Source organism: Homo sapiens, chromosome 1, assembly GCF_000001405.40.
Source record: "Homo sapiens chromosome 1, GRCh38.p14 Primary Assembly".
Lineage (NCBI taxonomy): Eukaryota > Metazoa > Chordata > Mammalia > Primates > Hominidae > Homo > Homo sapiens.
Genome location: NC_000001.11, coordinates 205,911,810 through 205,936,718, shown reverse-complemented (window position 1 = coordinate 205,936,718; position 24,909 = coordinate 205,911,810). Strand labels below are relative to the sequence as shown.

The 24,909-nt window shown below is 51.2% G+C and overlaps 1 protein-coding gene and 1 long non-coding RNA gene across 8 annotated transcripts in view, besides 3 other annotated features; one reads left to right on the top strand and one right to left on the bottom strand.

The window, feature by feature from the left end:
• The window catches only part of SLC26A9-AS1 (SLC26A9 and RAB7B antisense RNA 1), a 43,183-nt gene extending 41,377 nt beyond the window's left edge, over nt 1–1,806 (bottom strand). Inside the window, exons 1-2 of one of the 2 annotated variants that reach the window (NR_110984.1) lie at nt 1,766–1,806; nt 952–1,111 (exon numbers count right to left, since the gene is read on the bottom strand). This is a non-coding gene — a long non-coding RNA (SLC26A9 and RAB7B antisense RNA 1). Of the gene's footprint in view, nt 1–951; nt 1,112–1,522; nt 1,592–1,765 lie in introns of those variants that run through there. The other variant, NR_110983.1, reaches the window with a different exon arrangement.
• Nucleotides 1–23,667, top strand: part of SLC26A9 (solute carrier family 26 member 9) — a 30,405-nt gene extending 6,738 nt beyond the window's left edge. Inside the window, exons 2-22 of one of the 6 annotated variants that reach the window (NM_134325.3) lie at nt 881–1,023; nt 3,635–3,774; nt 3,907–4,017; nt 4,684–4,859; nt 6,663–6,827; nt 7,363–7,515; nt 7,810–7,892; nt 8,670–8,817; nt 9,114–9,227; nt 9,431–9,508; nt 10,089–10,184; nt 12,230–12,336; nt 13,106–13,175; nt 13,292–13,384; nt 13,524–13,637; nt 14,872–15,153; nt 16,489–16,543; nt 17,734–17,879; nt 19,365–19,436; nt 21,315–21,358; nt 21,536–23,667. In NM_134325.3, coding sequence (NP_599152.2) covers nt 899–1,023; nt 3,635–3,774; nt 3,907–4,017; nt 4,684–4,859; nt 6,663–6,827; nt 7,363–7,515; nt 7,810–7,892; nt 8,670–8,817; nt 9,114–9,227; nt 9,431–9,508; nt 10,089–10,184; nt 12,230–12,336; nt 13,106–13,175; nt 13,292–13,384; nt 13,524–13,637; nt 14,872–15,153; nt 16,489–16,543; nt 17,734–17,879; nt 19,365–19,436; nt 21,315–21,358; nt 21,536–21,827 — 2,664 coding nt within the window. In that variant the 5' untranslated portion in view covers nt 881–898 and the 3' untranslated portion in view covers nt 21,828–23,667. Of the gene's footprint in view, nt 1–880; nt 1,024–3,634; nt 3,775–3,906; nt 4,018–4,683; nt 4,860–6,662; nt 6,828–7,362; nt 7,516–7,809; nt 7,893–8,669; nt 8,818–9,113; nt 9,228–9,430; nt 9,509–10,088; nt 10,185–12,200; nt 12,337–13,105; nt 13,176–13,291; nt 13,385–13,523; nt 13,638–14,871; nt 15,154–16,488; nt 16,544–17,733; nt 17,880–19,364; nt 19,437–21,314 lie in introns of those variants that run through there. The other 5 variants (NM_052934.4, XM_011509121.3, XM_011509122.3 and 2 more) reach the window with 5 other exon arrangements.
• Nucleotides 8,305–8,845: an enhancer, noted in NCBI's record as "H3K27ac-H3K4me1 hESC enhancer chr1:205897002-205897542 (GRCh37/hg19 assembly coordinates)". NCBI's record gives its function as "activates a minimal SCP1, AML or CMV promoter by ChIP-STARR-seq in naive H9 embryonic stem cells {active_cell/tissue: H9 hESC(naive)}" and the evidence as "EXISTENCE:reporter gene assay evidence [ECO:0000049][PMID:30033119]".
• Nucleotides 15,624–16,154: an enhancer, noted in NCBI's record as "H3K27ac hESC enhancer chr1:205889693-205890223 (GRCh37/hg19 assembly coordinates)". NCBI's record gives its function as "activates a minimal SCP1, AML or CMV promoter by ChIP-STARR-seq in naive and primed H9 embryonic stem cells {active_cell/tissue: H9 hESC(naive and primed)}" and the evidence as "EXISTENCE:reporter gene assay evidence [ECO:0000049][PMID:30033119]".
• Nucleotides 16,155–16,686: an enhancer, noted in NCBI's record as "H3K27ac hESC enhancer chr1:205889161-205889692 (GRCh37/hg19 assembly coordinates)". NCBI's record gives its function as "activates a minimal SCP1, AML or CMV promoter by ChIP-STARR-seq in naive H9 embryonic stem cells {active_cell/tissue: H9 hESC(naive)}" and the evidence as "EXISTENCE:reporter gene assay evidence [ECO:0000049][PMID:30033119]".
• Nucleotides 23,668–24,909: the final 1,242 nt, after the last annotated feature.

Below are 24,909 nucleotides of genomic sequence, written 5' to 3'. Positions count from 1 at the left end.
TCCCCATCTCTTTCTTCTCTGTCCTTCTTTCTCTGTGGTCCTCTGAGCAACTTCTCCCAGCTCTGGGAGGTAGAGGGGTGGTGGGAGACCCAGTAATTGGAAGAGGGAGGGGGAAAGGTTCCTACAGGGAACTCCTCCGGGCCTCAGGGGCCCTGGCACTCAGCTCTGCCCATCTCAGCTCCTGGAACGTCAGCCAGGTTGCGCAAAAAGTGAGGAGGAGAGGAGCGGCAGTACACAAGGGTGGGGGAAAGATTAGGCACAGGAAGCCGTGGGAGAGAGAGCCGGCAGGTGGACCATCCTGGTTTCCCCACACACACCATTGTCCCCCTGGGAAACCTGTTGGTGAAGTTCTAGATGTCTTATCCAAGAAGGGTCCTCTTGAGGTCATCTCAGCTATCCCCCTGCCTCTAGGCAAGCTGTTTTCTGTTTCTTCCAAGCTGACTGGCTGAATGGTAGGAGCCTTTCTGCCAGGGAAACTGAGGTCTGGGAAGGGAGTATGGCTTGTGGGGACACCAGGGGTCAGGGGAGGGGAGGGTCCACCTGCTGAATCAAGTGGGGCCTCCTGCCCTCGTGATTCCCCTTTGCCTGGTGCTCAGTGGGGGTGATGGTGACGCCACAGGTGTGGAGTGCCAGCCACGTGCTGAGCGCCAAGCAAAACAGCCAGGGTGAGTCTATGCATCATCAGTGCCTGGGAAGGAAGGCCACTGCGAGCAGGGAGTCTGACGGAAAAACTTGACAGAGGGAAGGGAGGCACCTTGCTTTATCGGGGCGGGGAAGGCCAGAATAAAACTCTGCTACTGCAAGGACCAGAGAGAGAAGGCCTGGGCTGGCACTAGGGAGGGATGTTCCCTCACCCTCCCCTCCTCTGCTTCTCCCAAAGCTTGTAAATGCCCCAGATATGAGCCAGCCCAGGCCCCGCTACGTGGTAGACAGAGCCGCATACTCCCTTACCCTCTTCGACGATGAGTTTGAGAAGAAGGACCGGACATACCCAGTGGGAGAGAAACTTCGCAATGCCTTCAGGTAACTGGTCCAGAGCCCAGACTTCTGCCTCCTCTGCTCCCTACCAAAATCCTTTCTGCACCAGGACACGGCTTCTGCACTGGTATCCCTAAGATGGGGTTAAGGGAAGCCCTGGGGAAGTGAGGTTCTGAATGATGAATTTAAGATCCTACAACCTCATCTGTACTGAGACCCCCAGGGAGGATGGGGAGCAGGAGCAAGAACCATCCAGAAGGGTTATATGGCATTCCCAAACCCCTGCATGGCATCTCCCATATTCTCAATTCACCCGGGTCTCTCTGGGTTTGTTAAGGCATGGTAGATGAGCATCTACGTTATGGAGGGGTGGGGAGCATCAGAGCCCTTACTCCATGCCCTGTTCCCTCCTTACAAAAAATACCTGAAGTTACCATCACCCCAGGTTCTTTGTCCTTTCCCTCCCGGATGTTCCTTCCTCCACTTGGTCCAGAGAATGCCAAAAGGAGGCCCTAAATTTCTGAACTTTCCTGAGGGGACCTACCAGGGTGTAGTCCTACCAGCGCCCAGGGTCTTTCCACTCTCATCTCCCTGGAAATGCGATGGTGGGTATGAAACCTTGTCCCTAAGTAGGCGCTACACAAGGTGATCCATACCCACACCCCAGGAGGCTGGGGCTGCGGGTGTCACCCTCCCCATTCCCAGACTCCTGGCAGACCTCCTCTGGCCCAGCTATAGGCCAACTCACTCTCCCTCACTCCCTTGGGGAAACGGCTGATTCAGTTACCTGGATTGAGGTCACTGGCAATGGCTGAAGTGGAGACGCAGGTGGAACTGGTTCAGGCCGGGGGAATCACCCACTTGAGTTTGTACTAAAAGCCCCAGCCCAGCCCTGTTTCTCTTGGGAGGCTCCATTTCTGCCCAGTTACAGTCTGTCCTCACAGCTGTGCTCCTCAGACAGGTGGTCTCTGCCAGTCTTTGTGCCCAAGACTTTAGGGCACAAAGTCTGAGGATGAGAAGATCTGCTATTGTCCTAAAAGATTAGGATAATGAAAGCTGTAAAGGGATATAGCAAACTAACAATTCCTATGATACTGGCATGAGAGCCTTGAACAGTGCCTGGCATAGAGAAGGTGCACCAATAAATATTTGTTTCATGAATGAATGAATGAATGAATGTCTAGAAAGCTAATCCCTCTCAGCCTCTGTTTCCAGTTCTTCTTTCAAGCTTCAGATTGCTTTGCCCAACATACAGCAGACTTGCAAGTAAGGTTGGGCATGGACTAGCCCTCAAATGAGTTGTTTTTCTTTCCCTAGCCAGCTCTCTATTCATAAGTCCGGCTTTCTCTGCCACAAACAGACCTGATGGAGCCCCTGCAGGGCTGGTTCTCTCTTCAAGCAAGGCTTTAGAGTTGCATTAAGCAATTTATCCCCCGTCCACCTCCCCTTCCAGCATCCCAGGGATGGCAGAGGCACCCATGAGCCCCAGAAAGGACAGGGGGTAAGATATTGATGATGATGCTTTTTCTTGGAGTGTTAGTTGGAAGAGAAAATCTGCCCAGACTTTCCAAGGTACAAAGCATTGTCTTTGTTGGTTTCAGTCTTGGGTGACATCCAGGGGACCGAGTGTCAGGGAAACTATTGTTGAGCAAGAGCAAAGAGCAGGAATTGGTGCTGGGCAGGAAAGGAAGCCTCATCAGAGCAGGCCAGTGAGTCACCAAATGGGCCCTAAGTATTTGAGTTCCCTCAACTGGGAGAAGGAAAGCAAATGCCCCTCACCCACTTCCAGTCATCAATCCACCGGCTGTCACCCTTGAGTTTGTAAGCCCTTGTTCCTACCGCTCCTGAGTTTCTATGAAAGGACCTTGAGGTGTTCAACAAACAGGGAAGGGATCAACTCTCCCCACCCTGCGTTGACCAATGAATTCTTCCCTCCTCTGCTGCCCAGTGAATTAACAGGAGAAAGAACTCCGGTATTGGAGTTACCACACATAAAGGATAGTGAGTCAGCAGAGTGCACCCTGCAGGAACAATAGAGCCTTCCTTTTCAAGGAAGTTCTAAGAAAAATGGCAGCAGGCAGGCCCCACTCGGGTGTATTCACTCATTCATTTATTCAACAAATATTTACTAAGTGCCCCTGTGCAAGGCTCGAGGTGTACAAAGATGAACAGGAGAGCTAGACTTCTTGCCATGCGTGGTGGGGTTTGCTGCCTAGTGGGAGAGACAGACAAAAAGCAAGGAATGCACACACAGGATGCACACACAGCGGCAGGAGCCAAGGTGCAGTTACCCAGGCCTGGGATCAGACAGACAGGACTCAGAGGAGACTTTCCCAGAGAAAAGCCATCTGAGCCAAGGGATGGATCTGATACCTCCGAAGGCTGAGCCACCATAACACTCATACCTTTAAGCCAAGTCTTATAAACTCCCCAGGTAAGCAGCTGGCAGTCAGAAGACCTCCAGCTAATGCCCAGGACAAGTTGATGAGCTCTCAAGAAAAAGTTCCTGCCTTTTCTTCTCAATATCCCTGGCACACAGTTCAGTGAATTTTGAATGAACCAATGAATGAAATGAGCAGGATATGATAATCCCTCTCCAACACGGAATGTCCAAGCCATGCAGAGCCGACTGGAAATTTTCCCCGTTCCCTTCCAGATGTTCCTCAGCCAAGATCAAAGCTGTGGTGTTTGGGCTGCTGCCTGTGCTCTCCTGGCTCCCCAAGTACAAGATTAAAGACTACATCATTCCTGACCTGCTCGGTGGACTCAGCGGGGGATCCATCCAGGTCCCACAAGGTGAAGGGGCTCCTTCAGCCAGGCCTGGATTGCCACTCCCCTCACCATTCCTCTCCTCATCCCCACTCCATCCCTCTGTGATCCCCATAAGCTAGTCATGCTGCTGAGCTTCAGTCTCGTTGTCCTCTGCAGGCATGGCATTTGCTCTGCTGGCCAACCTTCCTGCAGTCAATGGCCTCTACTCCTCCTTCTTCCCCCTCCTGACCTACTTCTTCCTGGGGGGTGTTCACCAGATGGTGCCAGGTAAGGCCTCTCCCCTCTGGGCAGGCAGGATGACCCAGACCCCAAGGATGGGAGGTGTGGCAAAGGGGCCTCGGGAGATTTTCCATCTGCATTCTCCTGGAGTTGTTCCTGGTCAGTCCTAGGGGAATGGTCACTGTGAATGTCATTTCCAGGTCCTCGGTGACCTTGGAGAAACCACTGAGCCTCTTTGAGTTCAGTTAGCATTACCTGTTCCATCTTCCTCCTAGGAATGAGAGGAAGACTTAGCAGAACAAGATATACCATATGCTATAACATGCTTAAACAGATGTGAGAAATCACCATCTAACTCCCTGGTTGGTCCCAGCCGGCCACTACAGGGACATTTGGACTTCTCTGGTGCTAAGTGAGATGGAGGAAAGCCTGGTCACAAGGGCTGGTTTCTGGTTCAGGCTCTGCTTATATTTCTTATTTCTGAGTTCATTTTCTCACGTGTCCTGTATGACAATATTGACCATTGGGGTAAAAGCACCTTGAAAAGCATAGATCATGGTTAGAGTGAGTGGTTGTTATTATTGTGTTGGAGAAGAGCCTTGGAGGTGCAGGGATCCATCCCCCTGGGGTCGGGAAGCATTCCTGGGCCCCTTTCTGGTTTCCATCGGTGTGGTTCAAACCTCTGATTTTTGCTGGCTGGGTGGGGCACCACAGGTACCTTTGCCGTTATCAGCATCCTGGTGGGTAACATCTGTCTGCAGCTGGCCCCAGAGTCGAAATTCCAGGTCTTCAACAATGCCACCAATGAGAGCTATGTGGACACAGCAGCCATGGAGGCTGAGAGGCTGCACGTGTCAGCTACGCTAGCCTGCCTCACCGCCATCATCCAGGTGAGGGGGCAGCCCCCAACCCTGCTAGAAGGGCATCAGACCACCCTGCCCCTCCCTCAAAGCCTTAGCTTTGATGCTAAATCTGATTTAGGGGGCTGGGTGTGGAGGCTCATGCCTGTAATCCCAGCACTTTGGGAGGCTGAGGAGGGTGGATCACTTGAGGTCAGGAGTTTGAGACCACCTTGACCAACGTGATGAAACCCCATCTCTACCAAAAATACAAAAATAATCCAGGCTTGGTAGTATGCGCCTGTAGTCCCACCTACTCAGGAGGCTGAGGCAGGAGAATCACTTGAATCCGGGAGGCAGAGGTTGCAGTGAGCCGAGATCGCGCCACTGCACTCCAGCCTGGGTGACAGAGCGAGACTCCGTCTCAAAAAAAAAAAAAAAAAAACCAAGTTAGGGCTCACCTCCTCCCTCCTCCCCATCCCAGGGCTAAAGTGAACCTTGAAAATTAACAGTATCTCCTCATCTGCATGTAGCACGACCATACAAAAAAACAACAGCTGTACCTGGTTAAACTGTCCTGAGCTTTAAACCTGTAAAAGACTCACAGCCTCTCTCCATTATCCCGTGGAGAAACCCAACTCTCTGCCAGCATAGTCTTGCAGACTGCTAATTTTCTCTAACATCCCTCACTCCTCTCCAGCCTCCTCTGCTCCAAGCCACAGCAGCAGTTGCACAACATAAATTGAGCTTCTGCAAATGGTTGCAAAGGATTCTGCTAGGTTTTATGAAGGGAAGCACAACATGACAGAATGCAAGAGCAAAACGCAGTCCCAGAGAGCGCCTTTTCATTCACTCATTCATTCGGTTTTGTGCCAAGAACTAGGCTAAACCCTGGGATACAAAGATAAGTAAGAAAGAGGTCCAATTCACAAGTTGCTCACAGCCCAGCAGAGGAAGGAGCCATGTCAACAGATAAATTTGTATGCAGTGAGATAAGCAGCAAAGTAGAGCCATGTACAAAGACTGTAGGGACACAGAGCAGAGTCACGGAGGACCTCAAAGAGGAGGTGACACTCCACCTCTCTTAAAGGATGAGAACTTAACCAGGAACAAGGTATACAGAGGATGGTCCAGGCAGAAGGAACAGTGCCTAAAAACACTGAGGCCTGAGAGAGTGTGATCTGCGCAGGCAAAGTAAGGGGCTTGGTGTGGCTGGAGGGTAGAGGGCCCAGAAGAGGATGGAAAAGTAGGCAGGAGCCAGACAATGAGATCTGGGGTCTGTTCTCTGAACAGCGACTTTGGGTCTGATTGGCAGTTTATAAGGATCGTTTGGGCTACACAATGATGAGTGGGAGGTGGATTAGAATCAAGGCAGGGGACCTGTTGGGAGACTCTGCAGAGGCCCAGGCAGGAATAATGCAGGCGAAGACCAGGTAGAGAAAGAGATGGGGCTGGACTTGAAAAGAATGTTTTACCAGGAGCTTGGTGATAGACTGGATGTGGGAGGTAAGGGAGGATGACTCTCAAGTTTTTGGTTGGGCAACCAGGTTAATGATGGTGTCATTTACTGAGAGAGAAAACACTGGGGGAGGACTAGACTTATTTTACAGATAAGCCAAAGCCAGAGAGGTGATGTGACAGAAAGGCCCATGCTCTAAAGGAGCTGAAGGTCTGATGGCAGCCATGTAGAGCACAGTGAAGGGCAGGTGAAGGTCACAGATGGTCCAATTCCCTCAAGCTACTGCTACGCTAGGACTGCACGGAGCTCCAGACCTGCGTGTGTGTGGGGCGGGTCGTTGGAACTGCTGAACCACATTGGTCTTCCGCCACCAACCACCCTTTTCCTCCTCTCAGATGGGTCTGGGCTTCATGCAGTTTGGCTTTGTGGCCATCTACCTCTCCGAGTCCTTCATCCGGGGCTTCATGACGGCCGCCGGCCTGCAGATCCTGATTTCGGTGCTCAAGTACATCTTCGGACTGACCATCCCCTCCTACACAGGCCCAGGGTCCATCGTCTTTGTGAGTCTGGGGATGCACCCCTGCCATTGGAGCAAGGCTCCAGCAGACACATGAGGAGGATGTACTGTTTTAAGATGTCGTGAGCTCCTCATTGCAAGGGCTGGCTTAGCTGTTGTTCAGAGAGGATTCTGAGGGGGTTTCTGTCTTGGGAGGGTCAAAGTCATGACTCACAGAGGTTCTTGGTAGTTAATCCCTGCAGAAAAGAGCTGTACATTCTCCGCCAGTTCCCCATTCTAGTGCCTCAACCCCTCCCTGCCTGGAAAGTCCTGCCTTATGTCTAATCTCCATCCCTCCTCCTTCAGCCCAAACTCTTCTAAAGAAAAAGAAAGCATTCCTTTTCTAGCACAAGTTCCCCATGTGCCTTTTGGGAAAGGGCGGTGGGCGACGGGACAGGGTTCCTGATCAGGGTTTTAATTCTGTCTTGGTGTGCCTCCATTAGCTTTGATGGCATCCCTTCCCTGGGTCAGACACCCAAAGGTGGGGTATTATGGGAAGAAGGGGTGGGAGCCTGTGAGCATGATGCTCTTTCCCCCAGACCTTCATTGACATTTGCAAAAACCTCCCCCACACCAACATCGCCTCGCTCATCTTCGCTCTCATCAGCGGTGCCTTCCTGGTGCTGGTGAAGGAGCTCAATGCTCGCTACATGCACAAGATTCGCTTCCCCATCCCTACAGAGATGATTGTGGTAAGGACCTTGTTCAGAGCTGGGATGTTGGGGGGCCAGGCTGTGAGACGAGGAAGCCCCTACCTTTCCTCACCCCATCCCCTCAACTGGCAGCCAGTGGGACAGGAAGTCAGTTGTGAATCCATCCCATCCCCCGTATGTGGCGTTTCCTCTCTTTCTACTGCTCTAATAATTCCCCCTAAGGAGGCAGGGGAGTGGGATTCAGGGTCCCCAGAGAAAAGGGAGACTTGAGAGAGACGCCTGCCCTGGCCCCACCTTAGGGCCAATCCCCATTCTCCACTCTGGGGTTTGCAGGTGGTGGTGGCAACAGCTATCTCCGGGGGCTGTAAGATGCCCAAAAAGTATCACATGCAGATCGTGGGAGAAATCCAACGCGGGTGAGTCCAGGTGGCCCAGAAGCCTGGCCCACCCGCACCTCATGCCCCACTAAGGCCTGAGCTCGGAGAGGGAGACAAGATGAACTCTATGAAAGTGCAGTCGAAACTGTATGACACTGACCATGTATGAATTATTACTATTACCGTTTCCTGAGAAGGGCCGCACAACCAGCCAATGTAGGCTATTTTATGAGAAATGAGTCTTAACTGCCACACTCCCCTTATAAATCTCATTCAACTGATGCTGTTAAACAAAGCCTCTCTGAACAGCCGCTTGCTGGCTCTTTGCCTTGCTCTAATGCATTGGTTCTTTGTCCATGTAGAAAGGGAACTATTAGGTTCAACCAGATTCATGAAGCATCCACTCTGTGCCAGGCACCATGCTGGGCCCTGGGAGGAGAGGGGTGACGCTTGTCCTGCAGGGTTGGAACAGGCAAGGGAGGGAAGACCACATAGCACCAAAGGTCTAGGGGTCTGTGGACTCGTGAGCATACAGGGTTCAGAATCTGGGAGTTAACAAACGAGGCCCTACCACATACTGGCCCGGGGACCTTGGGCAAGTTAGGTTCTCTCAGCCTCAGTTTCCTCCTTTGTAAAACAGGAGTGATGGTCCCTACCCTATGGGGTGGTGCTGAGGATTCAGACTGGATGGGATAACTTAGGCAAAGATCCCGGCACACCATGGGGGCCTGGCTGGTCCCTGTGGGCTGGTGAAGGACTTGGCTGCCCTCCCCACTCACACCCTTGGGTTCTGCCTCCTTCCTGGCTCCTCGGCAGGTTCCCCACCCCGGTGTCGCCTGTGGTCTCACAGTGGAAGGACATGATAGGCACAGCCTTCTCCCTAGCCATCGTGAGCTACGTCATCAACCTGGCTATGGGCCGGACCCTGGCCAACAAGCACGGCTACGACGTGGATTCGAACCAGGTAGCTCTGGCCACCCCCGGCAGGACTGGGCAGGACAGGTCAACTCAGGCCTGGCATGACATATCTTGGGTGGGGAGATCATTGGGCTGAGGTGAGGCAGGCTGCCTCGAGTGTGGGGGATAGGGGGTCCTCTGACCCTAAGAGGCTGACCTCCTCTTGACTGGGAATGTGTGACTTTATAGCCACTGGGTCACTCTCAGGTCTTAGGCCCACAGTCCAGCTTGCATGCCTGACTGCACTTGGTCCCCGTGCCCCCCAGCCCCACACTGGCTTCTAATCCTGTCCCCTCCCTGCAGGAGATGATCGCTCTCGGCTGCAGCAACTTCTTTGGCTCCTTCTTTAAAATTCATGTCATTTGCTGTGCGCTTTCTGTCACTCTGGCTGTGGATGGAGCTGGAGGAAAATCCCAGGTGAGCCTTGTTCTAGGGGAGTTGGGGGGAGGTGGTAAGAGAACAGTTGCCCCAAAAAAGCCTGGGCACTGCAAGCCAGGCCAGCTCTTCTCCGACCCCTTCTTCCCGTCTTAGTCTCCACTCCACCAAAGCCATGGATTGGAAGTAAATCAAGAGCAAAAATTTCACACCTTCCCTCTATCCCCAACTCTTTCTCGGAATAGGTGGCCAGCCTGTGTGTGTCTCTGGTGGTGATGATCACCATGCTGGTCCTGGGGATCTATCTGTATCCTCTCCCTAAGGTAAGAGCCCAGCCATCGAGCAGAAGTCAACGAAAGACTCCAATAAGAACAATCCCTGAGAGTTGTGTGGCACTTTACGGACCACAAAGTGCCACTGTTGTCACACTTAGTCTCAACCACAAACTGTGAGGTAGACAATGCAGGTTTTATCCTCCCCATTTTACAGGTGAAGGAAACTGAGTCTGAGAGTCTAAGTAACCTTGTCCATAGTGAGGCAGCTTACAGCGCAGGGCTGGTCCCAAACTCCAGCCTTCTGGCCTCAGAGTCTAATCCCTAGGCAACATTTGCACCTACCCACGAGTACCAGGCTCTTATATAGCCCAGCTAGGAGGGCTCTAGGCATGCGTCATTTAGAGATGAGGGAAGAGAGATAGGGAAAGGATGGGGCCAGGAAGGACCCCATGGCTCTAACGCCAGCACTTTCCAAACCTAAGGTCGAATGCAGAGATTTGGGGGATCAGCCAGGGGAGGTGTTCCAGAACTCCGTCTCTGTCCTGCCAGGCCTTGGGGTCGGGTATGCGCAGGAGGGCAAAAAGAAGGGGAGACCCTGGGGTCCTGGAGCAATGTTCTGCTTCTCTAGTCTGTGCTAGGAGCCCTGATCGCTGTCAATCTCAAGAACTCCCTCAAGCAACTCACCGACCCCTACTACCTGTGGAGGAAGAGCAAGCTGGACTGTGTAAGTATCGGGCAGCCTCTGGGTACTGGCCATGCCCCTGCCCTCTCCTCCAACCCCACAGCCCTGTCAGCCCTGTCCTAACAATGAACCCTCTAGTCTGCTGCTTCCTAATTAGCATGAGATGAGTGGTTAAAAGTCCGAGTTTCGAAGTGAAACATCCTATGTTCAAACCCTAACTCAGCCATCTGCTGGCTCCATGGCCAATAGCAAGCCCCTTAACCTTTCCCAGTCTTGGTGTCTTAACTGGGCAAATGGTTATTTTATGCTCTCTGCCTCCCAGGGTTTTCTATGAAGAAGAAGCAAGGTAATACAAGTAAACATGTTGTCTACATCGTATTTTATACTCAATAAAGCTTAGCTATGACTACTTTATGACATACAGCTTTAAAAAACAAAAGGAAATAGTTTGTATTTTAAAAAAAAACCTAGAACATAAAGCCAGAGGACCAAAATCTTGAGCAAGTTACTAGACTTCCCTGGGGTTCTATTTCCTCATCTGTAAATGGGGGTGAGACTCATGCAGTCATGGTTGCGTCAAACGCTGGTTCCGAGGATTAAATGAGATCCCAGTGGGAAAACACCGCATGAGCGCAAACATTCTGCAAACATGACTTATTGTCCTGATTAGTCACACACTCCACCGCATCATCCGCTGGGCATAGTAATGAAGGCCAGTGTGTTTTGACGACACTGCCTTCTCTCCATTTAAGCCCCACCATAACCTATGGGAGAGGATTTACTAAACTTTCTTAACGGTGATGAAACCAAGGCTCAGAATGGTTAAGTAAATTGTCAAAGGCCACAGAGGTAGGGAGTGGTAGAGTCTGGATTAAAACTCCAAGTCCTGGACTCCAGACCTCTAGGCTGTACTGTCTCATAGGGAAGGCAGTCTCACCCACCTAGGGCAGAGAAGAAAATCCTTAAAGCCAGAGAAGTGAGTGGCTCATCTGTGGTCACCCAGAGAGACAGTGATGAGGACAGGGAGAAAAATTATACCTCAGTTCCCAGCCCAAGGATCTGCTTTGACCATAACCCAACAAGCCCCCGCTATGGTGGTATTCCCTTAGGTTCATATGGCGGCTTTTGTTTCCATTTGATCTTCACAGCAATTCTCTACAGGAATCTGGGCAGATTTATTTCCTTTAGAGGAATTTCCAGGTCTTAAAATCTATAGGGGGCAACTATCAAAACTTCACCCAATGTTGCCCCCTACCCACACACAAAACCAGGCCCCCAGCCGATCAGAAAGCACTGCTGAGCTCCTGTCAGGGCCCACGCAGCTCGCTGTGAGACAGAGAGAGGGAACTCACATTTATTGATCACCTACTGAGCATCCATCACTAGGCTAGGACCGTCACATTCCTTAACTTTTGAATCCTTTCATGAAGTAGGCATTATTATTCTCCTTTTGTTTCACATAGCCATTAAAGAACAAAATTTGGGGCTGGGTGTGCTGACTCACACCTGTGATCTAGCACTTTAGGGGGCTGAGGCAGGAGGATCGCTTGAAGTCAGGATTTCAAGGTCAGCTTGGGCAGCTTAGCGAGAGCCGTCTCTAGAAAAATAAAAAGTTAGCTGGGTGTGGTGGCACGTGCCTATAGTCCTAACTATTCAGGAAGGTTAGGCGGGAGCACAACTTGGGTTCAAGGGTTTGAGGCTCCAGTGAGCTGATCTTGCCACTGCACTACAGCCTGAGCAACAGAGCAAGACCCTGTGACTCCAAAAACAAACAAACAAACACATTTTGAACCCAAACAGATCTGACCCAAGATGCATGCTCTTATAGATGCCACCTCCCTGTGTGCTGGGGCTTCTACTAAAAACACAGACAAGATCAGGCAACCACAGTCAATCTAAGGGAAAGAGGAAAGTGTAACCAAAGCACAAATACATAAAATATTGCAAAAAATGCTATTTAAAGAAAAAAAAGAGAAGAGAGGCTCTGAGGTTGTACTAACAGAGAATGGCCTTGGCTAATCCAGGAAGACTTCCTGAAAGAGGTTGTTTTTTCCCCAGGTCTGCTTTTGACATCTCTCTTTTCACAGTGCATCTGGGTAGTGAGCTTCCTCTCCTCCTTCTTCCTCAGCCTGCCCTATGGTGTGGCAGTGGGTGTCGCCTTCTCCGTCCTGGTCGTGGTCTTCCAGACTCAGTTGTAAGTGATAGCTTCCGCCCTCCTAGGCCCACAGTCGGTTCCCTGGGCCAGCCCGCAAAGGGCTTCCATGCCACGGCCTGGCTTAGTCCACTGTACCTTCCACCTCTGGGCCTGGCACTGGAGGTGCTGCCAGGCCCAAAGAGAGCCCAACCCAGCCAGGACTGTGGGCACAGTCTGGGCTGTTTGACTTCCCATATCTTGAAAACCCCAGAGAAAGCCAGCATACTCTTGCTGGGGATGGCTGGGGAGAGGGCAGTGGCAGAGAAAGGAGGGCAAGGGCAGGTGGTGAGATTCAACATCCTTCCAAAGACATTGCCAGAACCCCAAACCAAATGGGACCCCACCCCAGGAGAGCGCCAGGGTGGAAGACAGAAGCTGTGTTCTACACACTGGGAGTATTACAGAGAAGGGGTCTTGGCCCAGGCAGGGAGTACGCTGAATGTTGGGGGAATCCTATCTTCTCTTCTTGAGAACTCAGAACAAGGAAATGATGACTTCAGGGCGACTCCCACCACTTCTCCCACCACTTCTCTCCCCTGCCCTGTGGTCTGGGAGCTATGTCAAGGACCTGCCTGTCATCCTCATAGTTATAGGAGGCCACAGGCCACCAGACATGTGTCTCCAGTGCAAAAAGACAGACACAGCAAGTCTGGGGGTGAGGACAGGACCCCATCCTACCTTGGCTCTGCCCCCGCCCCAGCAGGGGCACCCTTCCAGGCCCATGTGCCATTAGCATTCTCTTATGTTTTTCTCTTCCTGCTTCATCCAGTCGAAATGGCTATGCACTGGCCCAGGTCATGGACACTGACATTTATGTGAATCCCAAGACCTATAATAGGGTAGGTAATTCAAGCTTATGACCTCCTTCTTTTGCTCTGCACCACCCCAAGAAGAGGTTGCTTTTTAAAGCCAATAAAGACATTTCTGCAACTTGAGCTCAGTCTCCCTGTCACAGGCCCAGGATATCCAGGGGATTAAAATCATCACGTACTGCTCCCCTCTCTACTTTGCCAACTCAGAGATCTTCAGGCAAAAGGTCATCGCCAAGGTAAGGCTCAGTCCCTGGCGACCAGAGGCTCTGGACAGAGAGTGGCCGGAAAATGGAAGCAGAAGGGCGGTGGGAGCTGAGAATAGGCCACTCCCATAGAGGGTGGAGGTCAAGATTGCTGTTGGCTCTCTCCCTGCAGACAGGCATGGACCCCCAGAAAGTATTACTAGCCAAGCAAAAATACCTCAAGAAGCAGGAGAAGCGGAGAATGAGGCCCACACAACAGAGGAGGTCTCTATTCATGAAAACCAAGGTGAATGAAGGCCAGAAGCAGCCCCGTGCCCTGCTCTCCTGCCCATTCTGATACTGCCCCCTGTTACTCATGGTACCCTGGGGGCCCCGCTTCCCACCCTGACAGGCAAAGACAGAAAGTCTCTGGGAACACTGCCTGGTGGCCGCTGGGCATTTTTCTTCTTTTTTTTCTTTTTCTTTTTAGAGATGGAATTTTGCTCTTGTCACCCAGGCTTGAGTGCAATGGCGTTATCTTGGCTCACTGCAACCTCCACCTCTGGGGTTCAAGCGATTCTCCTGCCTTAGCCTCCCAAGTCGCTGAGATTACAGGTGCCACCACACCCAGCTAATTTTTGTATTTTTAGTAGATATTGGGTTTCACCATGTTGGCCAGGCTGGTGTCAAACTCCTGACCTCAGGTGATCCACCTACCTTAGCCTTCCAAAGTGCTGGGATTACAAGCCTGAGCCACTGCGCCCAGCCTGGGCATTTTTCTTCTTGGATGAGGTGCTACCATCTCCCAGGGAAGCCACTGAACCCCCAAGGCCCTTCTCCATTTTCTGGCTAAGATAGGACATGGCCCATGGACTTTTGAACAACCCAGAGGGGGAACAGCAGTGAATTTCCTGGGGAACCCAGGCAGCCCAGGGCTAGCAAGGCTGGGGTGGCCATGGCAGTAATCCTTGTAATCCCAGCACTTTAGGAGGCCGAGATGGGAGAATCACTCTCATGAGTTCAGGAGTTCGAGACCAGCCTGCCCAACGTGGCGAAACGCTGTCTCTACTAAAAATACACAAAAATTAGCCAGGCGTGGTGGTGGGCACCTGTAATCCCAGCTACTCAGGAGGCTGAGGCACGAGAATCACTTGAACCCGGGAGGCAGAGGTTGCAGTGAGCCGAGATAGTGCCACTGCACTCCAGCCTAGGCAACAGAGGGAGACTCTGTCTCAAGAAATAAAGGAGCTCAGTGTCCCCGGAGGGGCTTTCTCCCAGAGAGAGTGGGCTTGAGGCTTCAGTGCCTCTCTTGGCTGGGTCCTCTGACTTTGTCTGGGTTGTAGGAGACCAAGTTTGCAGGCCCTGCCTAAGAAAGGGCTTTGGGAGAGGCCTCTCTGGTGGAGCTTTCAGGGTCTGTGTTCACCATCACCGAGGCGAGTTATTCCCCTACACCTACACCCTCCATGCCCCTGCTTCAGTCACAGCAAGGTCTGGCTCAGTCTGGTGGTCCCTGACTCTGCCCACTGTCCCCACCCTTCCAGACTGTCTCCCTGCAGGAGCTGCAGCAGGACTTTGAGAATGCGCCCCCCACCGACCCCAACAACAACCAGACCCCGGCTAACGGCACCAGCGTGTCCTATATCACCTTCAGCCCTGACAGCTCCTCACCTGCCCAGAGTGAGCCACCAGCCTCCGCTGAGGCCCCCGGCGAGCCCAGTGACATGCTGGCCAGCGTCCCACCCTTCGTCACCTTCCACACCCTCATCCTGGACATGAGTGGAGTCAGCTTCGTGGACTTGATGGGCATCAAGGCCCTGGCCAAGGTGAGGCCCTCGGGAACAGCAAGCACCACCCACTCCACCCCCTCCGCTCTGCTCTCCACATTCCCTTTCCTGGGAGCCCTCATTTCAGGAAGCTGAGGGAGGAAGCTCACTGGGGAGACTAACAGCTCCTAGGAATCCCTCCTTTCCCCAGACGCCACCAGGTTGAGACATTCTCCACAGAGCAGGCCCAGACGGCCCATGACAATGAGTGGCGGGACAAGTCTACCAGAGTTTCAGGCCCCTGTGCTCCCAACACCCCCAGCAGTGGCCATCCCAAGTCCCTCTCAGCCATCAGGAACCCACCCAGGTTCTCTGAGGAGGGTCCGGTTTGGCTCCTGGTTCATGATCTGCTGCCCTTGTCCCTCATTCACCGGCCACCCTAGGACAGGAGAAGGAATAATACCAGTGCCCCACACCATCAGGCCAAACAGAGAGCCCACGGGACACCTTGAATGAATGTATCCATCTGATAACTTTCCAGCAGCCACCGCCAATGGCGGGAGTCAGCAAACCTCAGAGCTGGCTCAGATAGAGGCAAGCCAGGGGAACAATGGGCACAGAGAGTGTTCGGACTGCCTTCACCATCAACCAGGCGCAGGGCAGGCCCCATACCCAGCCTTGGGCCTCAGCCGGCTTCCTTAGCCAGGATCTGGAGTCCAGGCCAGCCTTGGCTGAAGCTCTAGACTCCCTGAGCCTCCATCCTCCCCTGCAGCTTCTGTCTGAAGCCACAAAGAAGTCTGAGAATCTAAGCTACTGAAAGAAAAGATCAGCCGGGCGTGGTGGCTCACTCCTGTAATCCCAGCACTTTGGGAGGCCAAGGCAGGTGGATCACAAGGTCAGGAGTTCAAGACCAGCCTGGCCAACATGGTGAAACCCCGCCTCTACTAAAAATACAAAAATTAGCCAGGTGTGGTGACGGGCCCCTGTAGTCCCAGCTACTCGGTAGGCTGAGGCAGAGAATTGCTTGAACCCAGGAGGCGGAGGTTGCAGCGAGCCAAGATCACGCCACTGCACTCCAGCCTGGGCAACAGAGTGAAACTCCATCTCAAAAGAAAAAAAAAGAAAATATCTAGCCCCACAAGAAGGGGCCATGGTGACTTTAAGTGCCCGCCACGTTGGCAAAAGTCCATTTCCGCTCCACTTCCCAGAGAAACCGTCAGCCAACACTCCAGGGAGAAGTGGTGTGCTTTGCTGCTATTTTTGTCTTTGGCTGCTGGGCTCTCAGGGTTGCTTATTTGTTTGGCTTCCCCTCTGAAGTACGTTTTGTGAATCACTTTTGAGACCCACTCAGAACATTCCTTTCCTTTTGCCTCCCTACCCCAACAACACTTCTAGCTGAGCTCCACCTATGGGAAGATCGGCGTGAAGGTCTTCTTGGTGAACATCCATGGTAAGAGAAAGAGGACATTTAGGGACTGAAAGACTGGCAAGGAGTGTGGGGTAGGAACAGGTTGGTGGGGTCTGAATAGTGAGGAGGTTGGAAACGAGAGCACCCAGCTATCCCCCACAAGCTGCTGCCTGCTCATAAAAGCTTCAGGTACAAGTCCAAAGAGACTGGTCAGATTGCATAAACATCCTAGGGGCCTTAGTGACAGAGTGGGGGTGAGGAGGTCATGGAGTTACAGAAGGACAGCTAGGATTCTAATCTACCCCATAACTAATTTGCCACGTATCCTTGGCCGAGTCACTTTATCTCTCAAGGGATCTATTTCTACCTATGTAAAACGAGAGGGTTGACTAGATGGATTTGGGGATCCTCTCCCAATCAGAAACTCTGTGAATCGATATAGGCATAGAGCACACGGTACCCTAATTCCCCAGGGAACATATAAATATGCAGTTTTGTAGGCATACAGCCTCCAAAGGGTGCATATACACAGCCTCAAGGACGTGGCCACAGGGCAGCAGACATTTACATGACTAGCATGTACGCAAAGTGCAGAGATGTGGGAGCAAGTGCACACAGACACACAGGAGAATGTGAAGGGGCACATACACACACACCCAGCTCCCTGCACTGGGTCAGACCCCCTCCAGCAGGGCTGCAGTTCCCAAGCTCCGCATGGCCACGTTCGGGGAGAGAATCTGCAGTGGCAATGACCTGCTATGATATGTTCTGGAGTTAGAAGCAGTGGATTCTCCCCAACCTCACTGGACACCCCCTCAGGAAACCATCTCTAGGATTAAGAGTAATCCACACAAACTTCCAATGCCACACATTGGAAGTTGCTGGAAAGGTCTGGGAAAACAAGAGGAAGGATGGGTCCTTGGGGGATAGAACTGGCAGCGGCCTCTTCAAGGATGGCTTAGGCTTTTCCACTCGAATCACCACAAAGTACTGACTCCCTAAATCAAACTGCTTCCTTCTGCTCTGGGTTGAAACTTCAGCATCCTCAAGTTCATGTTGCCCTCTGCCGTCCAAAACTGATATTGCACTGCCAATGCCATGGCCCTCAGATACAGCAAGAGCTGGGACCTCAGGCCTCTCCCATCCCTGCTCTGGTCTCACTATCTTCCCCACCCCCAGCTCCAATCCACAATGGCTGTTATCTTTCTGAAGGTGATCTTTTCTCCTTCTAGCCCAGGTGTACAATGACATTAGCCATGGAGGCGTCTTTGAGGATGGGAGTCTAGAATGCAAGCACGTCTTTCCCAGCATACATGACGCAGTCCTCTTTGCCCAGGCAAATGCTAGAGACGTGACCCCAGGACACAACTTCCAAGGGGTAAGGTTCTTGCACCTGGGGAATCCTAGGCTCCAAGGCACTGAAATAGCAGGACCAAGAGGCATTATTAGAAAGAACACAGGAGAAGGTTTAAGTTCCAATATCAAGTCTGCCATTTCAGTTTTCTGAATCTGTTTCCTTATCTATAGAATGAGCACCATCAACTAACATTACCTACCTCTCTGCATTTTTCTTTTATTTTGTTTTAGGGTTAAATGATAATTACATCTTTTGTGTCACTTGAAAGCACTTTGTGTATTGTAAAAATTCTTTATCAATATAAGTTTTCTGGTTGCACAAACACCCAAAGCATAGTAGAGCAGGCCCACTCTGCTGGCATCGTTCCCTGCCTCCTCCTCATCTCTTTCTAAAGGGGGCTTTCGGGAAGGGAGGGGAGGGGAGTAAGCCTACCCATTTTAACTTACCGGAGCTTAGAGATTTCAGGCTGGTGAGGGATAAAGAGATTGGGTCTGAGTTTTGTCTCAGCTTTTTGACATTTAATTTACTAGCTCAGTAAGTTACAAATGGGATACAAATAACACCATCTAAAACTCCAGAAGACTGGGGAGTCAGAAAAAGCCTACCTCCTTGGGGTCCCTGCCCAGATCCCCAGTCATCTCTAGCCCTCAGGGTCCCCTCCCAGCTCAGCTCCTGCCCTTGGCCTCCCAAGACTCTTGTTGTGCCCCAGCCCTGGGTAAAAACCTCCCCTGCCCTCTGTGGGTCATAAGAAAGGCTTTTCTGGCCCTAGAGCAATGATTTGCTCTTTGCCTTAAGAGACTGATGAAGGTGAAACCATCTGTTCTAAGTGCTGAAAGACTGCCCAGGAACACACAGGGCGCTGGCTCCTGCCCTCCATGCCTAGAGGGAAACCCTGGGGAAACAACGGGCTTTCCTGCTTCGTGAATTTGTCCGCAGAGCAAAGAGGGAGATTCTGGAGGAAGCTGCATTAGTTGTTAGTGCCCTAATCATGTTCAGCTACTCTAGTTGGTATGTATACTTGATTAGTCATAGACTTATAAATAATTTATATTTTATATAATATATACTTACATATTATAGACCATTCACAGATACAAATCACACACATAAACACACACCTTTTCAACAGCATTGTGAGGGACAAAGCAGGCAAAGTGAGGCTGGTTATCAGACTTGAACAGATTAGAAAATATATTCCCAGGAGGACAGGAATTCCCCAAGGTCAGGCAGCTAGCCAATAGTTTTTCTAAGCTGAGTAAAACCTTCCCTGCCTCTAACGGCCCACAAAGGAGGGAAGACCGCGATACACACCTGTCTGGTATAAGGGGGAAGACCACAGCCGTGCTGTTTTTGTGAGGCAGGTAAGGGAAGGGGCAAGAGGATAAGTCATGTGTCAGGAAGCAGCGTCCAACCAGAGCCGGCCACCTGTCCCTTTTCCTGCCACCATGCACCAACTTTGCTGTTCAGTCACTGAAGCTCATTCTGCACTGGCTTCCTCCCTTCCAGGCTCCAGGGGATGCTGAGCTCTCCTTGTACGACTCAGAGGAGGACATTCGCAGCTACTGGGACTTAGAGCAGGTGAGCTGAGGGAAGGGGCTGTGAGGGTGGGAGCAGGGCGAAGAGGGGAAGGATGGGGTCGCTGTCAAATACAAGGCGTTCACTCAGCTGTCTCACCTCCAGCCCAGAGCAGTCACATTCAAGGCCACAAAGATTTGTGGTCATCTTTGTTTTTTTTCTTTTCCTTTTCTTTTTTTTTTTTTTTTAATTTGAGACAAAGTCTCACTCTATCACCCAGACTGGAATGCAGTGGCATGATCTCAGCTCACTGCAACCTCTGCCTCCCGGGTTCCAGAGGTTCTCCTGCCTCAGCCTCCCGAGTAGCTGGGACTTCAGGCCTGCGCCCAGCTAATTTTTGTATTTTTAGTAGAGACAGCTTTTCACCATGTTGGCTGGGCTGGTCTCGAACTTCCGATCTCAAGCAATCTGCCTGCCTCGGTCTCCTAAGTGCCTGGATTACAGGCATAAGCCACGATGCCTGGCCTTTGTTTTCATTCTTCTCACTCCCTGAAAGTTATCGTGGGGAGAGGGTGAGTCACTGGACCAAGTCCTAGAGAACCAGTATCTATTCTTATTCTCCAACACATCACCCACGTGACCCTGAGCAAGCCACATACACCCTGGGCCCTAGTTTTTATCATCTGTGAAATTAGGGGAAACATAGGTAATACCTGTCCCATCCACCACACAAGATTGGCAGGGCAGTCACTTGTTCTTTCATTAATTCAGCAGGTATTTATGGCGTACCTACTGTTTGCCTGACACAGTTCAGGATGGGCACATAGCAGTGAGCAAAACAAAGGCCTCTGCCTTTTAGAAACTTACGTTATGGTAGAATAGATGGATTCTGGGTCTACAAATGAATTATTATTGCATGTGGACAAGCCTTAAGAACTAAAAAATATGTGGCTGGGTGCAATGGTTCACACCTGTAATCCCAGCACTTTGGGAGGCTGAGGTGGGCGGACCACCTGAGGTCAGGAGTTTGAGACCAGCCTGGCCAACATGGCGAAACCCCGTCTCTACTAAAAGCACAAAAATTAGCCAGGCGTAGTGGTGCATGCCTGTAGTCCCAGCTACTCGGAAGTCTGAGGCATGAGAATCACTTGAACCTGGGAGGCAGATGTTGCAGTGAGCCGAGATCGTGCCACTGCACTCCAGCTTGGGTGACAGAGCTAGACTGTCTCAAAAACAAACAAAACAAAACCTAAAAGATATGTGGATATGAGGGATCACCATCCCCATAGGGCCCCTGGATTAACACCACCCCACCAATGCCCTGAATTAAAAGAAACCAGATGACTAGGTTTGGAGAAATCTGGCTTTGGGTCTATGAGAAGTAGTGTCTCTCTTTGTGCCTCTTCCCATTCTTTTTGACATTGAGCTCCATGGTGCTCTGAATCCGTCTCTCACAGTGCTGATGGCAGGTGGGACAGATTAGAAAATAGAGCTGGAGCCACAGAGATTTGGCAGACTGATTTCGGTGCCCTCTTGGAATCTCCAGCACATTCCAAAAAGCCTGGATAGGACCAAAATAGCTTATCAACGTGAGAAAGGACTTCAGAGCTTGTCTACTGCCAACCCTCATTTTACCCAATGAGGAAAGTGAAGCTATTAGGGGGCGAGGGACACGTGGAAGGTCACACAGCACACAGGAGGTGATTCACATGTAGATTTCAGCACCTGCTCCTGCCACGCTGGACTGGTTCACCTCCTAGGCTGACCCTGCCTCTCCCCTGTTCACACACACTCTCGCACACACACACACACACACACACACACACAGGTGCTTTGTTCTGGCCAGGGGTTCCTAGGGTCACCTCTTGGTTGCAGCCACTGTGACCCCAACTGGTCTAACCTCTCTCTTCCCCTCCCACTTCCTTCCTGTGGTTCCTGCAGGAGATGTTCGGGAGCATGTTTCACGCAGAGACCCTGACCGCCCTGTGAGGGCTCAGCCAGTCCTCATGCTGCCTACAGAGTGCCTGGCACTTGGGACTTCCATAAAGGATGAGCCTGGGGTCACAGGGGGTGTCGGGCGGAGGAAAGTGCATCCCCCAGAGCTTGGGTTCCTCTCTCCTCTCCCCCTCTCTCCTCCCTTCCTTCCCTCCCCGCATCTCCAGAGAGAGCCTCTCAGCAGCAGGGGGGTGCTACCCTTACAGGAGTGAGAGTCTGGTGAGCCCACTCTTCACCCGTCAGGCCCTGGCCGCAATGGACAAGCCTCCTGCTCACTCCACCCCACCCACCTCTGCCCTGTCCTTGGCAGCTGAAGGACACCTTGACTTCCAGCTTTTACGAGTGAGCCAAAAACAGAAGGACAAGTACAACTGTGCTGGCCTGCTGTACAAGCTTCAAAAAGTGTCCCAGAGCCCACACGGCTCGGTGTCAGATGGTGTCAGGCTGTCACGGACATAGGGATAAACTTGGTTAGGACTCTGGCTTGCCTTCCCCAGCTGCCTCAACTCTGTCTCTGGCAGCTCTGCACCCAGGGACCATGTGCTCTCCACACCCAGGAGTCTAGGCCTTGGTAACTATGCGCCCCCCCTCCATCATCCCCAAGGCTGCCCAAACCACCACTGCTGTCAGCAAGCACATCAGACTCTAGCCTGGACAGTGGCCAGGACCGTCGAGACCACCAGAGCTACCTCCCCGGGGACAGCCCACTAAGGTTCTGCCTCAGCCTCCTGAAACATCACTGCCCTCAGAGGCTGCTCCCTTCCCCTGGAGGCTGGCTAGAAACCCCAAAGAGGGGGATGGGTAGCTGGCAGAATCATCTGGCATCCTAGTAATAGATACCAGTTATTCTGCACAAAACTTTTGGGAATTCCTCTTTGCACCCAGAGACTCAGAGGGGAAGAGGGTGCTAGTACCAACACAGGGAAAACGGATGGGACCTGGGCCCAGACAGTCCCCCTTGACCCCAGGGCCCATCAGGGAAATGCCTCCCTTTGGTAAATCTGCCTTATCCTTCTTTACCTGGCAAAGAGCCAATCATGTTAACTCTTCCTTATCAGCCTGTGGCCCAGAGACACAATGGGGTCCTTCTGTAGGCAAAGGTGGAAGTCCTCCAGGGATCCGCTACATCCCCTAACTGCATGCAGATGTGGAAAGGGGCTGATCCAGATTGGGTCTTCCTGCACAGGAAGACTCTTTAACACCCTTAGGACCTCAGGCCATCTTCTCCTATGAAGATGAAAATAGGGGTTAAGTTTTCCATATGTACAAGGAGGTATTGAGAGGAACCCTACTGTTGACTTGAAAATAAATAGGTTCCATGTGTAAGTGTTTTGTAAAATTTCAGTGGAAATGCACAGAAAATCTTCTGGCCTCTCATCACTGCTTTTCTCAAGCTTCTTCAGCTTAACAACCCCTTCCCTAACAGGTTGGGCTGGCCCAGCCTAGGAAAACATCCCCATTTCTAACTTCAGCCAGACCTGCGTTGTGTGTCTGTGTGTTGAGTGAGCTGGTCAGCTAACAAGTCTTCTTAGAGTTAAAGGAGGGGGTGCTGGCCAAGAGCCAACACATTCTTGGCCCAGGAGCATTGCTTTTCTGTGAATTCATTATGCCATCTGGCTGCCAATGGAACTCAAAACTTGGAAGGCGAAGGACAATGTTATCTGGGATTCACCGTGCCCAGCACCCGAAGTGCCAAATTCCAGGAGGACAAGAGCCTTAGCCAATGACAACTCACTCTCCCCTACTCCACCTCCTTCCAAGTCCAGCTCAGGCCCAGGAGGTGGGAGAAGGTCACAGAGCCTCAGGAATTTCCAAGTCAGAGTCCCCTTTGAACCAAGTATCTAGATCCCCTGAGGACTTGATGAAGTGATCCTTAACCCCCAAGTAATCATTAACCCCCAGACCAGCCTCAGAACTGAAGGAGATTGTTGACCCAGTGACCTGGAGTTGAGGCTCAGGGAGAGATCTGCCACATGTCTGAGGGTTGCAGAGCCCGCTGTGGAGGTAAGATTGGAAACACATGAGGCAGAGGGAAGACATTGAAGAAAACATCTCTGCTGGAATATTTGGAAAAGAACACTCTTCTGGACCTGGTTGAAGCAGGAAAGATGGAGGCAAAGTAGTGAAATAATCCAGAATTTCAATGCTTTTGAATGTTCTTAGTGATACTGACCTGTGATAATATAATTCCCAGGGAGGACTGGGAACCTTATCTCTTGAGATATTTGCATAATTTATTTAATTTAAGCCTCATTCTCCTTTTGTTCATTTTGGTAATAAACTGGATTTGAATTGTGAACAAATGCACATGTTTGGGTGGTTTTATAGAAAAGCAAAACAAGTCACCTCCACAGAGACCTGGCCTTGCTTTGCATTATCCCGGGCGGGGGAAGCAACGAGGACTCAGATTTCTCTGTAGGTCTCCCAGCTCCTCTCCAGGTTCGATTTTCCATCCTGGGAATGCATAAACTTCCACAATCCAGCTAAAGAACAGAAACTGGGGAGAGAAGATTGGGCTGAGGGGTCCACACACCCAGGACGAGTATCTAGAGCCAACTCTGGATTTTTGTGGCTATAGGGGATGTCAAAGCCCCATCATCCCTCTGCATACCTTTCACTCACTAATTCTTTCACATTCATGGGATCCCATCGTTACTTAGCAAACCCTTCAGAATCCTTAGTGTGGGGCAGCACACAATCTAATCCCACCTTTCGCTCCCCTGTTTGTGAGACAATGCAAGGAGAGCAAAGCCATGGGATTCAAGTGTCATACAAGCTAGGTTGACTGTCAACTGTGTTTACCAGCAATCAGAAAGGGAAGAAGATAAGAGGAATCACGAAAAACAAAAAGCAAAGGCATAAAGGAGACAGAAAGAGGATGAAGTGGAAAGAGATGAAGGACCAGAGATTAGACAAAACAAAGAGGGAAGGGAGATGAATGGTCATTGGTATGGAGATACACAGGGCCAGGCACAGTGGCTCACACCTGTAATCCCAAAACTCTGGAGATTTAAAGGATTGCTTGAAGCCAGGAGTTCAACACCAGTCTGGCCAACCCATAGTGCGACCCCATCTCTTAAAAAAAAAAAAAAAAAAAAAAAAGATGGGGAGAACTAGAAGAAGGAGAAACAGTTGAAGGAAGAGGATACGTTGCAGAGGCAGAGAAGTCAATGAGTCCCAAAATGATATTTATTTAAGATAAACTAATCTTGCTTTACCTGCTATTCAGCTGAGCTGTGGGATTTGGGTAAATAAGCAATTAGCATCCCTCTCATAGGAGTTTTAGACTTTTTTTCTAATGATGCTATCTTAGCCTGATTCCCCCTGGATGCAGAACCTGAGACAAAAGTCTGCATGGGCTATTCAGGCAATGATTTCAGGGAGAGGAGTGATGGGCAAGAGTGAAAACAGGGAGGCAGAGAAAGCCAACACAAGAAAGAGCCACTGTGAAAGGCAAGTGGGGCTCTACCCCGCCAGTCCTTCCCAGGAGCCCTGTGAGAAGCATCTGCAAACTGTCCTAGAGAAACATTTAACCATCACA